Here is an 18,232-nt window from a genome sequence, read left to right as displayed (position 1 = left end):
GGGAGGATTGAACCAGACCCATTTTGATTTGGTGTGCCAGTTTCTGAGGAGTCAGCACAGATCTCACCACATATCAGGGCAGTCTCTGACACGGACGTCTTTTCCCTGTGGTTTTCTTTGTCAGTATTCACACGAAGTGTAAGTCTTCTAGTGGGCACCCATACAGGGGATTGATGATCTCCTGGTGAAGCGCAAGCATACCCTCTTTCCCACGTTATAATTGTTCCAGGTTTCCAGGTATTGGTTTAGGAGTTTTTCCATAACACTGGCTTGCCTTCATTTAGGGAGAATTTTTTGCCTGTATAATGGCATTCAGCTGCAGTCAGAGTATTGTCTTTAGGAACATTTAGAAAGTTGAAAGTAAACAATGCTAAATGTAATTGAGGTAAATTTTGTCATTGGACAGAACACATGGCCATTTTATGCTCATGATTCGCATTCTCAAAAGCTAACGTACGAAGGAGAATACCTTGAGCGCGCTCATCAGAGACAGGTTTTTGAACAGCATCTTGTAATTTGACCAAAAAATAAGGATATAATTCATTGTGACCCTGTTTAACAGTAGTAAAAGAAACAGGAGCTTGGCCTGGGGCACGTAATTTATCTCAAGCTCTCATACACACTTTGTTACTTGTTCCGTGGTGAGAGCATCAAAGCCTAGTTGGGCAGTAGTATCAGAGTAATTATCAGGGCCTGTGAGCTGAGCCTGAGTTATTAGAATGCCATCAGCCCGATTTAGCTGAGTCTGCAAAGGGGACTCCTCTGACTGCCTGGTACGGAATTGTAAATGCTGAGATGGACTTAGAACAGCTTTTGCCAAAAGATCCCAGTCTAAAGGAAGCAAAATGACCTCAGTACAAAGAGTCTGTAATACCATTTTAACATATGGAGAAGTAGGACCATACTGAGTACAAGCATCCTTGAATTCTTTTAAAAAGGTAAGATTGAGTGGCGCATATCGACGCACTCCTACCCCTTGAGCATTTGGAGGTTCCAGCGCAACTGGATAAGCCCACGCATCTAATCTACTTGCTTCTTTGCTTTGGCGTAATAAGCGTTGCATGGAAGTTTCAAGAGCAGGCACGTGAGATGGAGTCGGCATAGAAGTGACAGGAAAAGTATGTGTAGATAAGAGAAACTGAAGTTGAGGATGTCGGACTGGTATGAGAGTGTGAGAAGGGGCATTGGGGGAGCAGAAGAGGTAAAAGCATACTGGTGGTTATTGGCGCAATCCTGTGCAACAAGAATGGCAGGGGCATCCATGCATGAAGAAGGGTACAGAGAAGCAGGTTGAGTGGATGGCAAAGTGACCGGTTGAGGGACCGAAATGACAGGAGGATGAGGGGCTGCGGTGGATGGGGGAAGGCCTGCAGAATTACAGGTAAATTGTAGTTTGGTCCTGGGGCCATTAGATGGCTCTGGAGCCAAAGGCTGCAAAGCTTTGAAGAGGGAAAAATTAGCATAGTTATGATCCTGGGCTGTCCGAGTCCGGGCCTCGGGAGCTACAAGTATCGGCTCTTCATGGAAAGAAATAAGATCATCAGGGGGTGAGGTTAAGCCAAAGTCACCGGAGTTAGATATTGAATTCTCACCATCTTCAGGTGGGGGAGGAGTAGGCGAAGGGAGAGGCTGAGCAGATAACAAAGGCCGAGTGGGAGAGGAAAGCTGAGGAAGAGGTAGAGGGTTGCCGGATTCCGAAACTTGTGGTAACTGCAGGGGGTCACAGGATTGGTATGTCATTAGGATGGCACGTACCAAGGCCCAATCACCCCAAACAGTGACGGGAACATAATTCCCTGTTGGGACCAGTTCCCGGAATTTTGCAGCAACACAATCCCATAGTTTCACATCTAACGTTCCCTTTTCAGGAAACCAAGGACAGTGTTCTTCCACTGCCCTGAATAGAGTGACCATATTTTCCACGGGCACTCAAACTCTCCCCTGTTTTAACAGGAGTTTAATATAGCAGAGATAAGCATAACGTTTAGACTCCGCGTGACCCATAGTTACCCCGGACAATACACAGACAACTCAGCAATCGTCAGGGAGCCGAACAAGCGTTTCTGTGGACCGGACGGATGAACGTTTCACTGCACCTACCAAAGGGAATCGGGTTCCCACATGCACTTAGGAGAAAGAAAACCATGTTGGCGCACCAGATACCGGGGGAACCGGCTCCCAATATTTCAGCATAGGTTCTTTCTATTTTCCATAAGTGTTGGCTGGCTGAGAAATAAAAAGAAAGAGTACAAAGAGAGGAATTTTACAGCTGGGCCTCCGGGGCTGAATCACATATCGGTAGGACCGTGATGTCCACCTGAGCCACAAAACCGGCAGGTTTTTATTGAGGATTTCAAAAGGGGAGGGGGTGTAAAACAGAGAATAGGTCACAAGATCACATGCTTCAAAGGGCAAAAAGGAGAACAAGATCACATGCTTCTGAGGCATGATCACAAAGATCACAAGGCAAAGGGCAAAATCAAAAACTCCTGATAAGGGTCTATGTTCAGCTGTGCACCTATTGTCTTGATAAACATCTTAAACAACAGAAAACAGGGTTCGAGAGCAGAGAACTGGTCTGAACTCAAATTTACCAGAGTGGAATCTTTTCCACCTGTTCCCTAAAATCACTGTTATTCTGTTCTTTTTCAAGGTGCACTGATTTCATATTGTTCAAACACACGTTTTACAATCAATTTGTACAGTTAGAAACAATTACAGTGGTCCTGAGGTGACGTACATCCTCAGCTAACAAAGATAACAGGATTAAGAGATTAAAGTAAGACAGGTGTAAGAAATTATAAGAGTATTATTTGGGAACTGATAAATGTCCATGAAATTGTCACAATTTATATTCAGAGATTGCAGTAAAGACAGACATAAGAAATTATAAAAATATTACTTTTGGGAACTGATATATGTCCATATTAAAATGAAATCTTTACAATTTATGTTCTTCTGCCGCAGCTCCAGCTGGTCCCTCCATTCGTGGTCCCTGACTTGCTGCAACAATCCATCGCTTACATAACCAGTTCCCTGCATTACATTCCCACTGTTTGAAACACTTAAAGTAGTTTCTTTTTGCCTGGCTGGACCCAGGCTGACACAGCCCACTTGAAATTTGAGTTCATAAATTTAAAGTGAGACCCATTAAGATGGCATGTGACTTTTCCCAGTGGCATTCAGTTCTTCTTCAGGGGCAGACACAGAGTAGGCAGATTTGGGTGAACTAGGGCTAGAGTTTGGCTGGAAAATTTGAAGGAATGGGGGAAGTTGAAGGTGAAGGATGGCTTTTGGCCAAGTTAGGAGAGAAGTGAAGTTACGAAAGCTGAATGGCAATGTGAAGATGAGACCATCAGAGGCTTAAAAATCCATGTGTGGGTGATCATTGTTAGAGCAGGGGTGCTGCAACAAGTGAGCAGGGAAAATCCAAAAGGGTAATCAGGCATTTTAGGATGCTTGAAAGCAAAATTTTGGAAGAATGCAACAATTAGTAATGATAAGACATATAGTATGACCATGGGAGTGAGTGGCTAGAAGGATTGGAGGCTAGGTTCAGGGAAATGAGATGAAGAAGCTGAGAGGCCAAAGTGTTGAATGGATTCTTTATGGAGATATTGAACCAGTGCAACCCTAAGATTTCTAAAAAACTTGGGTCTCTCATCTCTCACTTAAACCCTAGAGAATGGGGCCCAGCTTGTTCTCTTCTCTTTTCTTTCTGCTGTTCTCTCTCAACCGTTACCCTCCATACATGGCCATGGCTGTTCCTTGTATTCCACAAGCTCCAGTAGCACATAGCTGTTATGTATAATAGACATTCATCAAATGTTTACAGGTAAAAGACCACAGCAAAGCACGAAGCTAGAAATAATTTAAAGCTAAACATTATGCATAATGTCCTAAAGTCCTTGAGAGGAATTTCTCAAGGACCATTTTCCCCTTAAATCTCCACCTCTGCCAGTTTTGTTCAGGTCACTTCCCTCTCTAGAGATTCTTTACGTTTCCTCCTGTCCAGGGCATCTGAAACCACCCTCACAGGTTAACAAGAATGACAAGCCATGCTTTAGGCAGAATTTTAGTTAGGCATTGACCAGGGTGCACAGGTGCACTTTGACCCACTTCCCTGCACCAGCTAACTAACCGAGAGTCACAGAGCAGGCTGACCACCAGCTCCTCTATTGTTCCTATCGATGGAATCTGTGACATTTGACCTTTTTACCCAAGAACTGCTTAAAGTGTTTTTCAGAACCTGAATTCCTGCAGAACGGCTGCCACCAATCGGTTTAAAGACCCCCACCAAGAAACTCACTCAGCACAGGAATGTTGTTTCTTCATCTCCCTGTCCCATGACTTCACTCCTCACTTCTGGACCAATCAACAATCCCCACACTTTAGCCATTTGCCCATACAGAGCCCTTAAAAACCTCATCCCCAATCCTCTCAGGGAGGTGGATTTGAGGTTTCCTCTTGTCTCCTCATTTGGCTGCCCTACCATTATTAAACCCTTTCTCTGTTGCAACTCCTTCTGTTTTGGTGTATTGATCTATTACTGCACAATGGGAAATCAAACCTGGTGTTCCTATAATATATATGATCCTCTGGCCCCCTCTTGCAAGCCTATAGGGAAATACTCTTAAATTCATGTACAGTGAATGTACATGCAGCATGCAGTCCTCTTTTCACAATCCCTGCCCCTGTGGCATCTCATTCTTATTTTTAAAAGTCTTTTCAAGGTATTTCCCAAAGAAAAGAGTCATCAGTCTTTATGATGAATTCTGCTCCTTCTCAGAAACGCATAATTGCAATAATCATAGAATTATTTTGATAAAGAACTTCATAATGTTGCTGTTACTCAAGACAAAATGACATCATGTAGGTGACAGTGTCGGAAATCTGAAAAGCACTTTTGTAATTCAAGTATAAAAGGAGAGAAATATTACATACAATCCCACAACCTAGTCTAGTTAAAAGATGATCCAAAAACTGAAGATCCATTGGTCTACAAGTCCTCAGACATGGCAAACTTGAAGAAACTGGGCTGTGGCTACATGCAATGCTCAGTTGAATGCATACTTAAATAAATGAAAGAAGTGTGCATAGGGTGTAACACAAGGAGATACTTAACTAGGCAGATTTTAGCCATTCCATTGAAAAATGTTTCAGAATCATCATGGAAGCCAGGCTAGGTTGGAGAATGAATGGGAGTGAGAAAATGGAGAAATCAGCATGGCTTTTGTTTTCCTAGAAGTTGAGTGTGAAAAGGAGAAAGACAGCATAGTAACCACTTAGTTTCAGCCATAACACTCCATGGCATGATCCACACTCTCCTCTGAAGTCTGGTTTTTTCACACTCATCCTGTCTCCTAGAGAAGATCCTAATAAAGGGTCCCTTCCAGCATCCAGCTCTCCATTCCTCAAGTGCATTGGGCCATGTCAGACCATTTCCTGAGTTAAGCTTAGTGTAACTGGAGAGACAAGTAAAAGGGACAGGCGTGCAAACATGGAAAGAAAAGCAGGGAGGTATGCTATGGACTAGACTGTGTCCTTCCCAAAAACCCTATGTTGAAGCCCTAATCACCACTGTGACTGTGTTTGGAGTTAAGGCCTTTTAGGAAGTGATTTCCTTAAAGAAGCTTCGAGGATCACTTGAGATTAAATAAGGCCAGAAGAGGAGGGCCCTCCTCCAATAGGACTGGTGTCTTTATAAGAAGAGGAAGAGACACCAAAAGGAAAGGCCATGTGAGGACATGGCAAGAAGGCAGCTAGCCGCAAGCCAGGAAGAGAGGCCTGCTGGCACCTTGACCCTGGATTTCCAGCCTCCAGAACTGTGAGAAAATAAAGTTCTGCTATTTAAGCCACCCAGTCTGTGGTATTTTGTTATGGCAGCCTGAGTAGACTAACATAGGATGGTTAAGAAAAACAAACAAACAAACAAACAAACCTACAGTCATCCTTGGTTATATACAGGGTATTGGTTCCAGGACCCCCACAGATATCAAAATCCGAACATACTCAAGTCCATACTCAAGTCCTACAGAACCCATGTGAAAAGCCAGTCCTCAGGTTTTGCATCCTGGGAATACTGTATTATCGATTAGCTTTGGTTGAAAAAAAAAATCCAAGTATAAGTGGACCCTTGAAGTTCAAACCCGTGTTGAACTGTACAGTGCAGGGGTCAACTGTAATAATAAAGGAGGAGGAGGGGGGAGGGATAGCTTTAGGAGATATACCTAATGCTAAATGACGAGTTAATGGGTGCAGCACACCAGCATGGCACATGTATACATATGTAACTAACCTGCACATTGTGCACATGTACCCTAAAACTTAAAGTATAATAATAATAAAATAAAATAAAAATAAAAAAGAGCAGTAAAAAAAATATAATGATAATAATAAAGGAGGGAACTTGTACTTTGTACTTTTCTTCACAATTTTGGGTAGGTCTGGCTCTAATGGCATAACTTGAGAGAGAAAGGGAGAAGGGGAGTATGTGACACATGTCAATCTGTCACAGCACAGGACACCGGCTCCCACCGGCCTCACCCTCCCTCCCCATCCCTATTTGCTGTCCTCCACTCCCTGGGCTTCTTGGCTGCTGGTCAGCCTCAGAGGTTGCTTAGTTTTAAAATATCCCTGCTTAGACGGCTAATGTTCCGTGGTGGGACTCGTGGATTTTTTTTTCTTCTGATTTATGCTAGGATCAAAAGAAGCTTTAGAGTCTTTCCTGTTGCTATCGACCCATTGAGATCGGCTCTGCAGCCAGAGGCCTCGCTGTGATCCGCCGAACGCCAGGGATTAGTGAAGATTCCACAAGAGATTTGAACAGTACCCAGTGAGTACACCTTGCATTCGTCTTTGAAAGTATATTATGGACCCAAAGTGGTGTATCACCCACAAATTCTTCCTCCTCCTTTTCTTTCTAACCTTAGGGGAGCAAGGCATTAATTAGTTAAACAGTCGAGCAGCTCAAAGGTTTCTTTTCAGCAGCAATGGCTCACGTGGCTGCTTCTCATATGGACAGGTTGCTGCTGCCAAGCGGGGGTAAGGGTGGGCAGCACTTACAGGGAGTGCTTGTTTAAACAAGGCCAATTTCCAGCCTACTTTGCAATGCAAATGCTTTCAAGAGCATCCCGATTGCTCCTCAGAATTAGCTGGAATAAAGACACTTAGGAGGGATGTAGCTTGGTTTGTTTCCAGCCTTTTCTTCTTATGGCTGAAACCAGTTTCTTCAGATTATTATTTGGCTTTGATGTGTTCAGAGTTTATATCATAAGGAAAATCATTTTATTCTACAAGGCAAACAGTTTAAAATGGGAATAATTTAATGTTGTTTTTGTTTCGTTTTAATTTAAAAAATAGTGTCTTTTAAATGGACATTTTAAAACTGTATGCCCTCGAAACGTTATTTTCGTGTGGCCAATTTCAGGCTTCTTGGGCTCTTGGTCATCATGAAGCCATCCTGCTTGCAGAAGCCTGTGGGAGGCCAACGTGGTCTTAGCATTTCTGTGTCTGTCCAGGTGCGTGCCAAGCCCACAGTAAGCCCTCTTTAAATAGCCCCTTTGGTGAATTATTTATAGTGCAATTGAATTAATCTTTTAACTCTAATTCACACCCTAAAATGTTGGTTTGGCCATTTTGCAAATATTTGTCACAAATGAGCTTTTGTCCTGTATTCGTCGGTTAGAAGTTCAACCAAAAAGTGTTACCATGTACTAGAATATGTTCTCTGGTTAATTTAACTTATTACTAAATTAATACCCTTACGTATTACTAAGATTGTCCACTTTATGATAGTTCTTCCAGCAGTGATTCTCCAACTCCTAAGTGCAATGAAGGAGGCACAGCTTTTTGTGTCAAGCTTAGTAATATTTTTAGGTGTACTCCTAAAAAAAAAAAAGCATTCTGGGGCATTTCATTAATTCTTTTGCTCATATATTGACACAAGCATTTTTTTTAAACATTTGTAGAAGTTTTTTATTGAGACAAAATTGTACATATTTATGGAGTACATGTCATATTTTGATACATACTTACAATGTGTAACGATTACATCAGGCTAACTGGAATATCCATCACCTCAAACACTTAGCATTTCTTTGTATGGAGAACATTTCAAATTCTCTCTTCTCGTTATTTTGAAATATACAATAAATTATTGGTAACCACAGTCACCCTACTTTGCTATCCAAAGCTAGAGCTTACTCTTTTTTTTTTTTGAGACAGAGTCTCACTCTGTCACCCAGGCTGGAGTGCAGTGGCGTGATCTTGGCTCACTGCAACCTCCACCTCCCAGGTTCCAGCCATTCTCCTGCCTCAGCCTCCCAAGTAGCTGGGATTACAGGTGTGCACCACCACCCCCAGCTAAATTTTTGGATTTTTGGTAGACATGGGGTTTTACCATGTTGGCCAGGCTGGACTCGAACTCCTGACCTCAGGTGATCTGCCCACCTCAGCCTCCCAAAGTGCTGGGATTACAGGCATGAGCCATGGCACCCAGCCAACTAGAACTTATCCTATCTAACCATATTTTGGGGCCTTTGTTTTTTAATAGAGACAGAGTCTCACTGCATTGCCCAGGCTGGTCTCAAACTCCTGAACTTAAGCACTCCTCTAGCCTCAGCCTCCCAAAGTGATAGGATCACAGGCATGAGCCACTGCGCCTGGCCTAACTGTAGCCATTAACAAAGCTACCAAACTCTCTTCATTCCCATCAGCCCCGTACCCTTCTCAGACTCTAGTAATTATAATTCTTCTCTCCACCTCCTTAAGATCAACTTTTTAAGCTCCCATAAGTGACTAAGAGCATGCAATATTTATCTTTCTGTGCCTGGCTTATTTTACTTATAATGTGCTCCAAGCTCATCCATGGTGCTGCAAATGGCAGGATCTCATTCTTTTTATGGCTGAATAATATTCCATTGTGTATCTATATCACGTTTTCTTTATCCATTTATCCATTGATGTACACTTAGGTTGATTTCATATCCTGTCTATTGTGAATAGTGGTGCAATAAACAGGGGAGTGCAGCTATCTCTTCAATATACTGATTTCCTTTCTTTTGGGTATATACCCAGCAGTGGGATTGCTGGATCATCTGGTAGTTCTATTTTCAGTGTTTTGAGGAATCTCCATACTGTTCTCCATAGTGGTTGTACTAATTCACATTCTCACCAACAGTGTACAAGGAGTGTTCCCCTTTCTCCACATCCTCACCAGCTCTGTTATATTTTGTCTTTTTGATAATAGCCACTTTAACTGGAGTGAGTAATATCTCATTTTGGTTTTGATTTGCATTTCCTTGAAGATTAGTGATGGTGACCATTTTTTCATATACCACACAGACATTCATTGAGTAGACTTCAGCTCTCCTATGAGAAACCCATAATCTAGGGAAACACATAAGCAAATGATTACAAAATAAAGTGATAATGATGGCCATTTTCATAGCTTTTTTATTTATTAAATATCACCATTGGGTTGACTCAGTAGCATCTCATATACCTACCTGATGGGCTGCAGCAGATATTGGCACTCAGACAAGCCAATTTTAGGCATCAGAGCCCTGTAGCCGTGGTAACCTCACCCCTGTGCTGGACGGGAGGCAGGTCGGCTAAGCAGAGGTGCTGGAAGTGTGTGTGGTACCAGGACTGGGCCGCAGGAGCTGCACAGCCTCACAGCACATTAGCCAATGGCCCCATGCCAACCCCCTTGGCTGGGTTTTCTGGAACAGGTACCTCCTTACCATTCCAAGAAAAAGTCTCCTCCTGCCCCCCAAAAGTGGGGGGCAGGTGATCCAAAAGATCACTAAGCAAATGCCTGTTTGTCCTTTGGAATACTCAACCCTGATCAGTGGTGAATACTCAGTCACCAACTATGTGGAAGAGGCACAACCATGGCAGACAACAGATATGGAAAGAGCAGGAATTCTTCTAGCAGGAATTCTTATATCAAATGCAATGGTGGCCATGCCCCCAACAGCTCTGCAGTTGGAAAAATGAAGCCTTCAAGTAAGGCCAAAGTCCTACTGTTTGAGGGCAATTCATCTGGGCCAAATCCCTCAGGAGCAGGGCCATGCGGGGGTTACAACTGTTCATGCAACACAACAGATTGGGCTTAAGCTGGCCAGGGCAGTGACGGGCTTTTCATCTTAATTGTAGTTGTCTGTGTCCCAAGAAAATGTTATCAGCTTTTCAGAAAAACTTTCAAGAGACTCGAGCAAGTCAAACCCAAGCTGCCCTCCTTGTCTGCATATCCTGCTCTGTTTTCCCATTTGGGAAATGAAACCAGCAGCAGCTGAGAGGGAGAAGGTTCTACACTCACTGGTTTTCTCCACTCCTACCACTCCCTCCTTCCCCCTCCTCTCTGTCACCCTGAAGAAATCTCCTTCTGGAATAAGGTGTCATTCATCCTTGTCACCTCCAGTATAGTTATGTCAGATGCAGTGAGGTGCTGGATTTAGATTACAAGAAGCGGGAGGATTCTTGCAAAGAGAGGACAACATTTGCTTAACTATGCCAAGGGTCCCCTTGTCCCCCGACCAAGAGGGCCTTCATGCTCCCTCAGCTTGACTGAACTTTAGGCAGGATTCTTCCTAACCTCCCTTTTTTTTTTAGAGCATTTCTTGTCATTGTACATTTTTTCTCTGCCCCTTTGAGATGTATGTAAATCTCTTCAAAAGCCTCCTGCCAGTTTTACAATCCAGGAATGTCTTTCTCAAGGACCTGGGAGCCCTCCCTTTGAAATGTAATCATCAAAGGAGATGGCACCCCTGTCTCCCAGTCTTTGTGGAGAGTTTTTGTGGGAGTCTAACTTCAGCAGGACACCTTCCTCCAAGTCATAAAACCATCCCTTGTCAAAAGATAGAAGTTTATTAGCAAACACAAATGGCCTACGACCTCTTCACAACATCCTCTGGCATGTTTCACTAGCCTTTAAAAGCCTTTAAAAACTTTGCACCCTCTGCATCAGCAGCATTGAGTTCACACTGAGTTCTAGTCCCTCTCTCCTGTTGCAATAACTTCGGATAAACTTCCTTGCGTGTTTAACTTTTCCAGGCAAGTAATTTTTTTTCTAATACTAATTAGAAAATTTTGCTTTGATGTCCCCCTCCTTACACCTCCAAAATCTGTCTCATTTCTTTGTAGCATTGGTCCTCAAATTTCAAAAAGCATGTTTTTACATAACCTGGAGGGCTAGTTAAAACACATTTCTGAGGATGGACGTGGTGGCTCACACCTGTAATCCCAGCACTTTGGGAGGCCGAGGCAGGCGGATCACTTGAGGTCAGGAGTTTGAAACCAGTCTGGCCAACATGGTACGACCCCATCTCAATTAAAAATATGAAAATTAGCCGGCATGGTGGCACGCACCTGTAATCCCAGCTACTCTGGAGGCTAAGGCAGAAGAATCACTTGAATCCAGGAGGCAGAGGTTGCAGTGAGCCAAGATCGCACCACTGCAATGTGGTTACCAGCCTGGGCCACAGAGCAAGACTCTGTCTCAAAAAACAAACAAACAAACACGTTTCTGAAGCAGGAGGCCTGGGATGGGGCTTCAGAATGACACTTTCAACAAGTTTCCAGATGAATTGGGGCTGGTCTAGAAACCACACCTTTAGAATGACGTTAGCATGTTTTTTGCACAGACAATCTTAACTCCCTGAATTCCCTTTAGTTAATGGAGACTCTAGTACACCATCCTGCAGTGGGGCCATTTCCATAGCTGGTGAAGAAATTTTCTTTCCCACAGTCTTCCTCCTCTCTTTTTCATACTTTTCCCTCTTTTGCTTTCTGGCCATATGCCTTCTTTTGCTTTCCTCCCCTTCCACCTCTAACTCACAGCAATTCTCTTCCCTCTACCAACCAGCCTGTTCCAAAAAAAAAAAAAAAAAAAAAAAAGGTCCCCTTTTATTCCTTAGGGTAGCACTTGTTTTTGTTTTTTAACATCCAAATCCTTCTTGGAGCCCCTTCGTATTCTCTCTCTGAGGAAGACGGAGGGGGCTTCCCTCATCCTCCCTTGTTACCTAGCAACTTGTCTTCTTCCTGACAAGTCACCACCCTGCCAGGATGCCAGCTGATGCACACACAATAAAGGGAAAGTGAGCAGACACCACCACTCCAGTCCACTCATAGAGGACCCTCTGCGCATTAGCACTCCGATGAGTGGCTTGCTATGGGCAGGTCCCCCAGACGCCTCTCCCCCAGTAAGCTGGCCACACTGCTCCTCCAGGGATCTCAGAGAGATGGCAGCTTGTCAAGTTCCTGAGTCGCTGGGTATGTACTGGGAATTTCAGATTTAATCCCTAATTACATCCAGCTCATCACCTTTGTAATAGGAGCCATAATCATCTTTTCATTGTTGTCTTTGAGTCACTGGGGCTGTGTGGAACACTATATCCATATTCATGCATGTGTTTTCTATTTTGCTACTACATCCTCTTCCTTAGACTTCAAAATGAAGGGGGATTTTCTTTTCTCCTGCAAAAGCCTTTATGAAAGAAGGTGTTTGCTTAACACTTTCAAGCTTCCCCATTGACATCCTTTGTTCTTTCTCTACACATTCATGGATTAACTACTTTGGGTCCAGCCGTGGTAACCAACTTCAATTTGTCACAGAAAATGTAGATGTTTTTAGGTAGGGCTTATATAGTGGAAAAGATATGGACACAAACTCCCTTCCTGGACCAACTGAGGAAGGAAGATTTCTCAACCTCACTTTCTGTAATCCTAAAAGAAACAGTAGAATAGGAAAGGAGGAAAGGAGAGAAAGATAGAAAGAGAAAAAAATTAACTCCACTCTAAAAAGGCATTCATAGCAATAATACTTATAACAGAGAACAATGGAAAACTACCCAGATGCTTGGTCAGGCGCGGGGGCTCATGCCTGTAAACCCAGCACTTTGGGAGGCTGAGGTGGGTGGATCACGAGGTCAGGAGTTCAAGACCAGCCTGGCCAAGATGGTGAAACCCTGTCTCTACTAAAAATACAAAAATTAGCCAGGTGTGGCAGTGCACACCTGTAATCCCAGCTACTCAGGAGGCTGAGGCAGGACAATTACTTGAACCCAGGAGGTGGAGGTTGCAGTGAGCTGAGATTGCACCATTGCACTCCAGCCTGGGCAACATAGCAAGACTGTGTCCCCACCACCAAAAAAAGAAAGAAAATTACCCAGTTGCCCAATAGGTAAATGGACAATCATTATAGCAATGCAACAGAAGATAATTAGATCAATTTCATAAATGACAGCCTATGTAAATGGACCATACAAATCACAGAGGTATTTTAATATATATTTAAATATACACAAGCATGCAATGTATAAATATAACTGACATATATTTTAATATAATAATTTATGGGAAAAGAATCCAATAGAGATTAAACACACTGGTTAGATTCATGCAAAAATACATTAGACTGTTCAGAAAAATTAAGAACAATATGTGAAAAGGTATGAGTAGTATAGAGCTGTGCTGTCCAATATGGTAGCCACTAGCCACATGTGGTTAACTGAGTACTTGAAATGTGGCTAGTCTGAATTGAGATTTAAGTGTAAAACTTGATTTCAAAGATGTACTATTAAAATATATATATAAAATATTTCATTAATAATTTTTATGTTGACTCTGTTGAAATGATCTTTTAAATATATCAGATTAAATAAAATATATTGCTAGAGTTAATTCCACTTGTTTCTTTCTACTTTTTAATGTGGTTACCAGAAAATTTTTAATTACATATTAATTAGTGACTTGCTTTGTGGCTTGCGTTGTATTTCTATTGAACAGTGCTGGTTTAGAGTTTAATGTTTACTAGTTCTTTTGTTCTACTAAATTACCACAAAACTTCCTGCTTCATTTGTATTTATGAGGTATATGAGTTGTGGAACGTGGACTGGTTTGAAAGCAATATTTCTGCACAGACAAATTCTAGGGTTGGCTTTTTGCATACTATAATAACTCTAGACAAATCATGGAAATTGTGACTTCCCCAGGAAGATGGGGACTGGGGGGAGTGAAGTATGGAGGAAGGGAAAGGAGGCTTGGAGAGGAAAGGAAGAAGGCCATATACTCCAGAGGCGATAGGATCACTGAAAAAAACTAAATGTGTGGCTTGCAAGAAGAGGAGGTGGCCTCCTTCTAAGATGTCCCTTGTCATTCTGAAGAAGACTTCCTCCCAAACCAACTCTTTCCCATTGGGCAGTCAGCTTGATCTCTTGAGGTTGAGGAAGGCCCTGCTATTAATTGTCCTAGGAGAAAGAGCATATCCACTGAGCTATGAGTCAATGATCTGTCTTAGGGTGGGATTTATTATTTTCATTATTTGTGTGTTTGATTTTCTTGTTAGAGTTCTTTCCTTAGGACTGTTTGTTGCTTTTAACGAGGTGGATGGGGGTGGTAGTGTGCTGAGCAGAGCAGTGCTGATGCTGACAACAACACCACAGCAAACAGCAAACAGGACATGCAAAGCAGGAGGCAAACTCGTCTTCCCAACCAACATTTAGCTGAGGACTAGTCAGGGTGTGTGGCTATTATGTTCTAGTAGCTAGGAGAGTCCCAGCATGTGCTCTTAGAGGCCATTTTGGAGAGGGTGAAATAGAGAAACTAGAAACATTATTCATCTCAGAGACTCTCTGGACCTGAGAGAGAACAGTAACTGTATTCAGGCCTAATCCCTCAGATGGCTGCCTTGGCGGCCACTCTCTTTACCATGAAAATTGCCCCCCAGATGGAAACCTCTTGAACTTGGAAAAACCTCTTTATTTCCAAACAGAAAAAAAAAAAATCACTATGTATTTCTTCTTAAGAAAAAAAAATTGTTATTCAACTACTGTGTCCCATTTTCCCAATAAACATTAATTGAACTGCTAGTGGGCACCATTCATCCATTTAACAAATACTGAGCCCCCACTATGTAGCATATATTGTAAATGAGACCCTAGACTCTGAAAGATCCTGAATTCAAATTTTGGCTCTACTATTTCCTGTCTGGGTGACCATGGAAAATTACTTAATCTCTCTGAGCCTTTCTTCATCTGTAAAGAGGGGAAATAATTAATACAGTGTTGTTCTGAGATTTAAATGAGTTAATACATAGAAAAATACTTTAAAATACATAATAAGCTAAGTGCAGTGCCTCGCGCCTGTAATCCCAGCACTTTGGGAGGCTGAGGCGGGCAGATCACTTGAGGTCAGGAGTCTGAGACCAGCCTGGCCAACATGGTGAAACCCCGCCTCTACTAAAAATACAAAAATTAGCCGAGTGTGGTGGTGCATGCCTGTAATCCCAGCTACTCAGGAGGCTGAGGCACAAGAATGGCTTGAACCCAGGAGGCAGAGTTTGCAGTGAGCCAAGATCATGCCCAGCCTGGGCAACAGAGCGAGACTCCATCTCAAAAACAAAACAAAACAAAACATGATAAATGCTTACAATGTGGAAAATACTGGCACAGAGTAGGTGCTGTAAAAGTATTTGTGGTTATATGCTAGCTAGTGTCTGTTAAGGATACAAAGATGAGCACAACACAAACTTTGCCCTCAAGGAGACTCCACCTGGTGGCCTTTCATACACACTACTTCACTGAACCTTCACTGCCAGACTGTGAGTTAACATTGTTAATCTGAGGTTCAGACAGATTTTTTTTTCTTTTTTTGAGGCAGAGTTTCGCTCTTGTTGCCCAGGATGGAGTGCAATGGCACGATCTTGGCTCACCGCAACCTCCGCCTCTCTGGTTCAAGCTGTTCTCCTGGGTCAACCTCCCAAGTAGCTGGGATTACAGCCGTGAGCCACCACATTCGACTAAATTATTATTATCATTATTATTATTATTATTATTATTATTATTTGTACTTTTAGTAGAGATGTGGATTCACCAGATTGGTCAGGCTGGTCTCGAACTCCTGACCTCAGGTGATCCACCTACCTCGGCCTCCCAAAGTGCTGGGATTATAGGTGTGAGCCACCACACCCAGCTGGTTCAAACAGATTAAATTATCTGCCTGAGATCACACAAATAATAAATGGCAGGTGTGATTCGGAGCTAGTTTTTCTAACCCTAAGTCCAGGGCTCTTTGCTCAAGAGTATGCTGCCTTTTTAGTCTTCTAGAGGCCGAGTCTTAGCTCAGCCTGTGAAGCAGAAGTCTCTAACCCCAAGAGCCTTAATATAGATATTTTTCTTCTGGCAGTATTAGTTAGGGTGTCTAGGGAAGCAAGTAACAGAAAATCCTAACTTACACATTAAGAAAAATTAATTATCTCACATTTTTACAAAGTCTCAATGTAGGTTGCTGCAAGGTTTGATGCTTTAATGACATCATGAAGGACCCAGCCATTCCATCTCTCTGCTTTGCATTCCTCAATGTGTCAGCTTTGTGCCAGAGTCACAAGACGGCTACACTCCTCCAGGCATTGTATGCAGATATAACGACATACCCCAAAAGAAGAGAAGACTTCTCCAGAAGCCTCCCAGGAGACCTTCACACATGGCTTATTAGATCAGAGCCCCTCCTTAAACCAATCACTAAAAAGGAAAATGGAATTGCCATGAGTGGCTCAGCAAAATCATGATTTACCCCTGGATGGGAATCAGGGTCACCTTCAAAGAGCATATGGACATGTGAAGGAGCATAAACACAATCACAAAATTGGGGCTCCCACCATCGGTTGCAGAGGCAGTCGGCAGTGTCTGCTACAAGTGACATCAAGTAGCATCTATCAAGTGGCATTACTTTAACAAATATTAACAATAGGGTCCTCATCTCAGTTTAGAAGAAAAATCCAAAATCAAAGTAGACTGAAGATAAGGTAAACGGTGATGTTTGCCACACTAGTGGTGAGGTTTTCATAGTTTTACCCAAACCAGTTTTTATTTTTAGTGCTTGGTTGGGGTCACTGAAACTTCCAGGTTGTCCTAACCTGTTAAAATCTTTTAAAACATTATTTGTGACTGTTTCTCTTTGGACAGTGCTTTTTGTTAATCACAAAAAACAGGGTAGAAGGTAATAACACATGCAAAGGGATGTGTAGCAATCAAAGGGAAATGTTATCCTTCCTAGGAGACAGGATTTATGGGATTCCTGGATCTTTTTTGTGTCTGATTGTTAAGGTCTTGACAGCCTTTCAATTGAGGAATACGGTCGTGTCTGTTAAACTAATTGTAGCTGTTCACTCCACTATATAATTTTACAACATTTCAGCTTCAAATAGAATGGCTTCAATAAACATAAAGCAGACTGACACATCCCAGATTTCTGCAGTTTATTTTACACCAAGAAATTACATTTAGAGATTTCCAGACACATACTATAAATGAAAATTCAACAGGAAGTTTCTTTCATTTCCTCTAGATCTGACCTATATTTCAAAAATATATGAGTGGGCTATAACCAGGAACTTCTTCTCTTGCTCCCATTATTCACACCGTTTTCTGAAGAGTTTTTTTCTCGTCCGCGACTCTAATGGCCATTAAGGGAATTGCAGACATTGGAAGACTATACAACCCTAAGTGAAATGAGTGAAATGATAAATGTTATCCACAAGATGGCCAAATTGTATGGTTCTGGGCTACCTATCTCCATCAGATTAACTAGAAAAGCTAGACCTCCTCGTGCTTTTAGCATGAAATAGACAACACTCATCCTTTTCCATTTATACAACCTTAGATTTTATTTATTTATTTATTTTTGAGATGGTGTTTCACTCTTGTTGCCCAGGCTGGAATGCGATGGTGCGATCTCGGCTCACTGCAACCTTTGCCTCCTGAGTTCAAGTGATTCTCCTGCTTCAGCCTCCCGAGTAGCTGGGATTACAAGCGCCTGCCACCACGCCTGGCTAATTTTTTGTATTTTCAGTAGAGACGGGGTTTCATCATGTTGGCCAAGCTGGTCTAGAACTCCTGACCTCAGGTGATCCACCTGCCTCAGCCTCCCAAAGTGCTAGGATTATAGGCGTGAGCCACCGCGCCCAGCCAAGCTTAGATGTTTTTAATGTGAGCAGCCATTTGGTAGCTACTTCCCCAGATCATATACCACCCATCTAAAAGAAAAATGTGATGATGAATTAGATCCAGTGTATGTAATTTCTATGGTTTGAATGTATGTGTCTCTTTAAAATTGTTAGAGCTTAAATCTTAAGGTGATAGTGTTAAGAGGTGGAGGCCTTTGGCCAGCATGATGGCTCACGCCTGTAATCCCAGCACATTGGGAGGCCAAGGCAGGCGGAACATTTGAG

General features: G+C 42.5%; 1 long non-coding RNA gene across 1 annotated transcript; it reads left to right on the top strand.

Moving 5' to 3' along the window:
- The first annotated feature begins 12,122 nt into the window (after positions 1 to 12,122).
- Positions 12,123 to 17,241, top strand: QKILA (QKI interacting lncRNA). The gene is made up of 2 exons (NR_187398.1): positions 12,123 to 12,276; positions 16,276 to 17,241. It is a non-coding gene; the product is annotated as a QKI interacting lncRNA (long non-coding RNA).
- The last annotated feature ends 991 nt before the right edge of the window (positions 17,242 to 18,232 follow it).

Source organism: Homo sapiens, chromosome 4 (genome assembly GCF_000001405.40).
Source record: "Homo sapiens chromosome 4, GRCh38.p14 Primary Assembly".
Taxonomy (NCBI): domain Eukaryota; kingdom Metazoa; phylum Chordata; class Mammalia; order Primates; family Hominidae; genus Homo; species Homo sapiens.
Note: the sequence above shows the minus strand (reverse complement) of the source record. Positions and strands in the feature narration are given on the sequence as shown.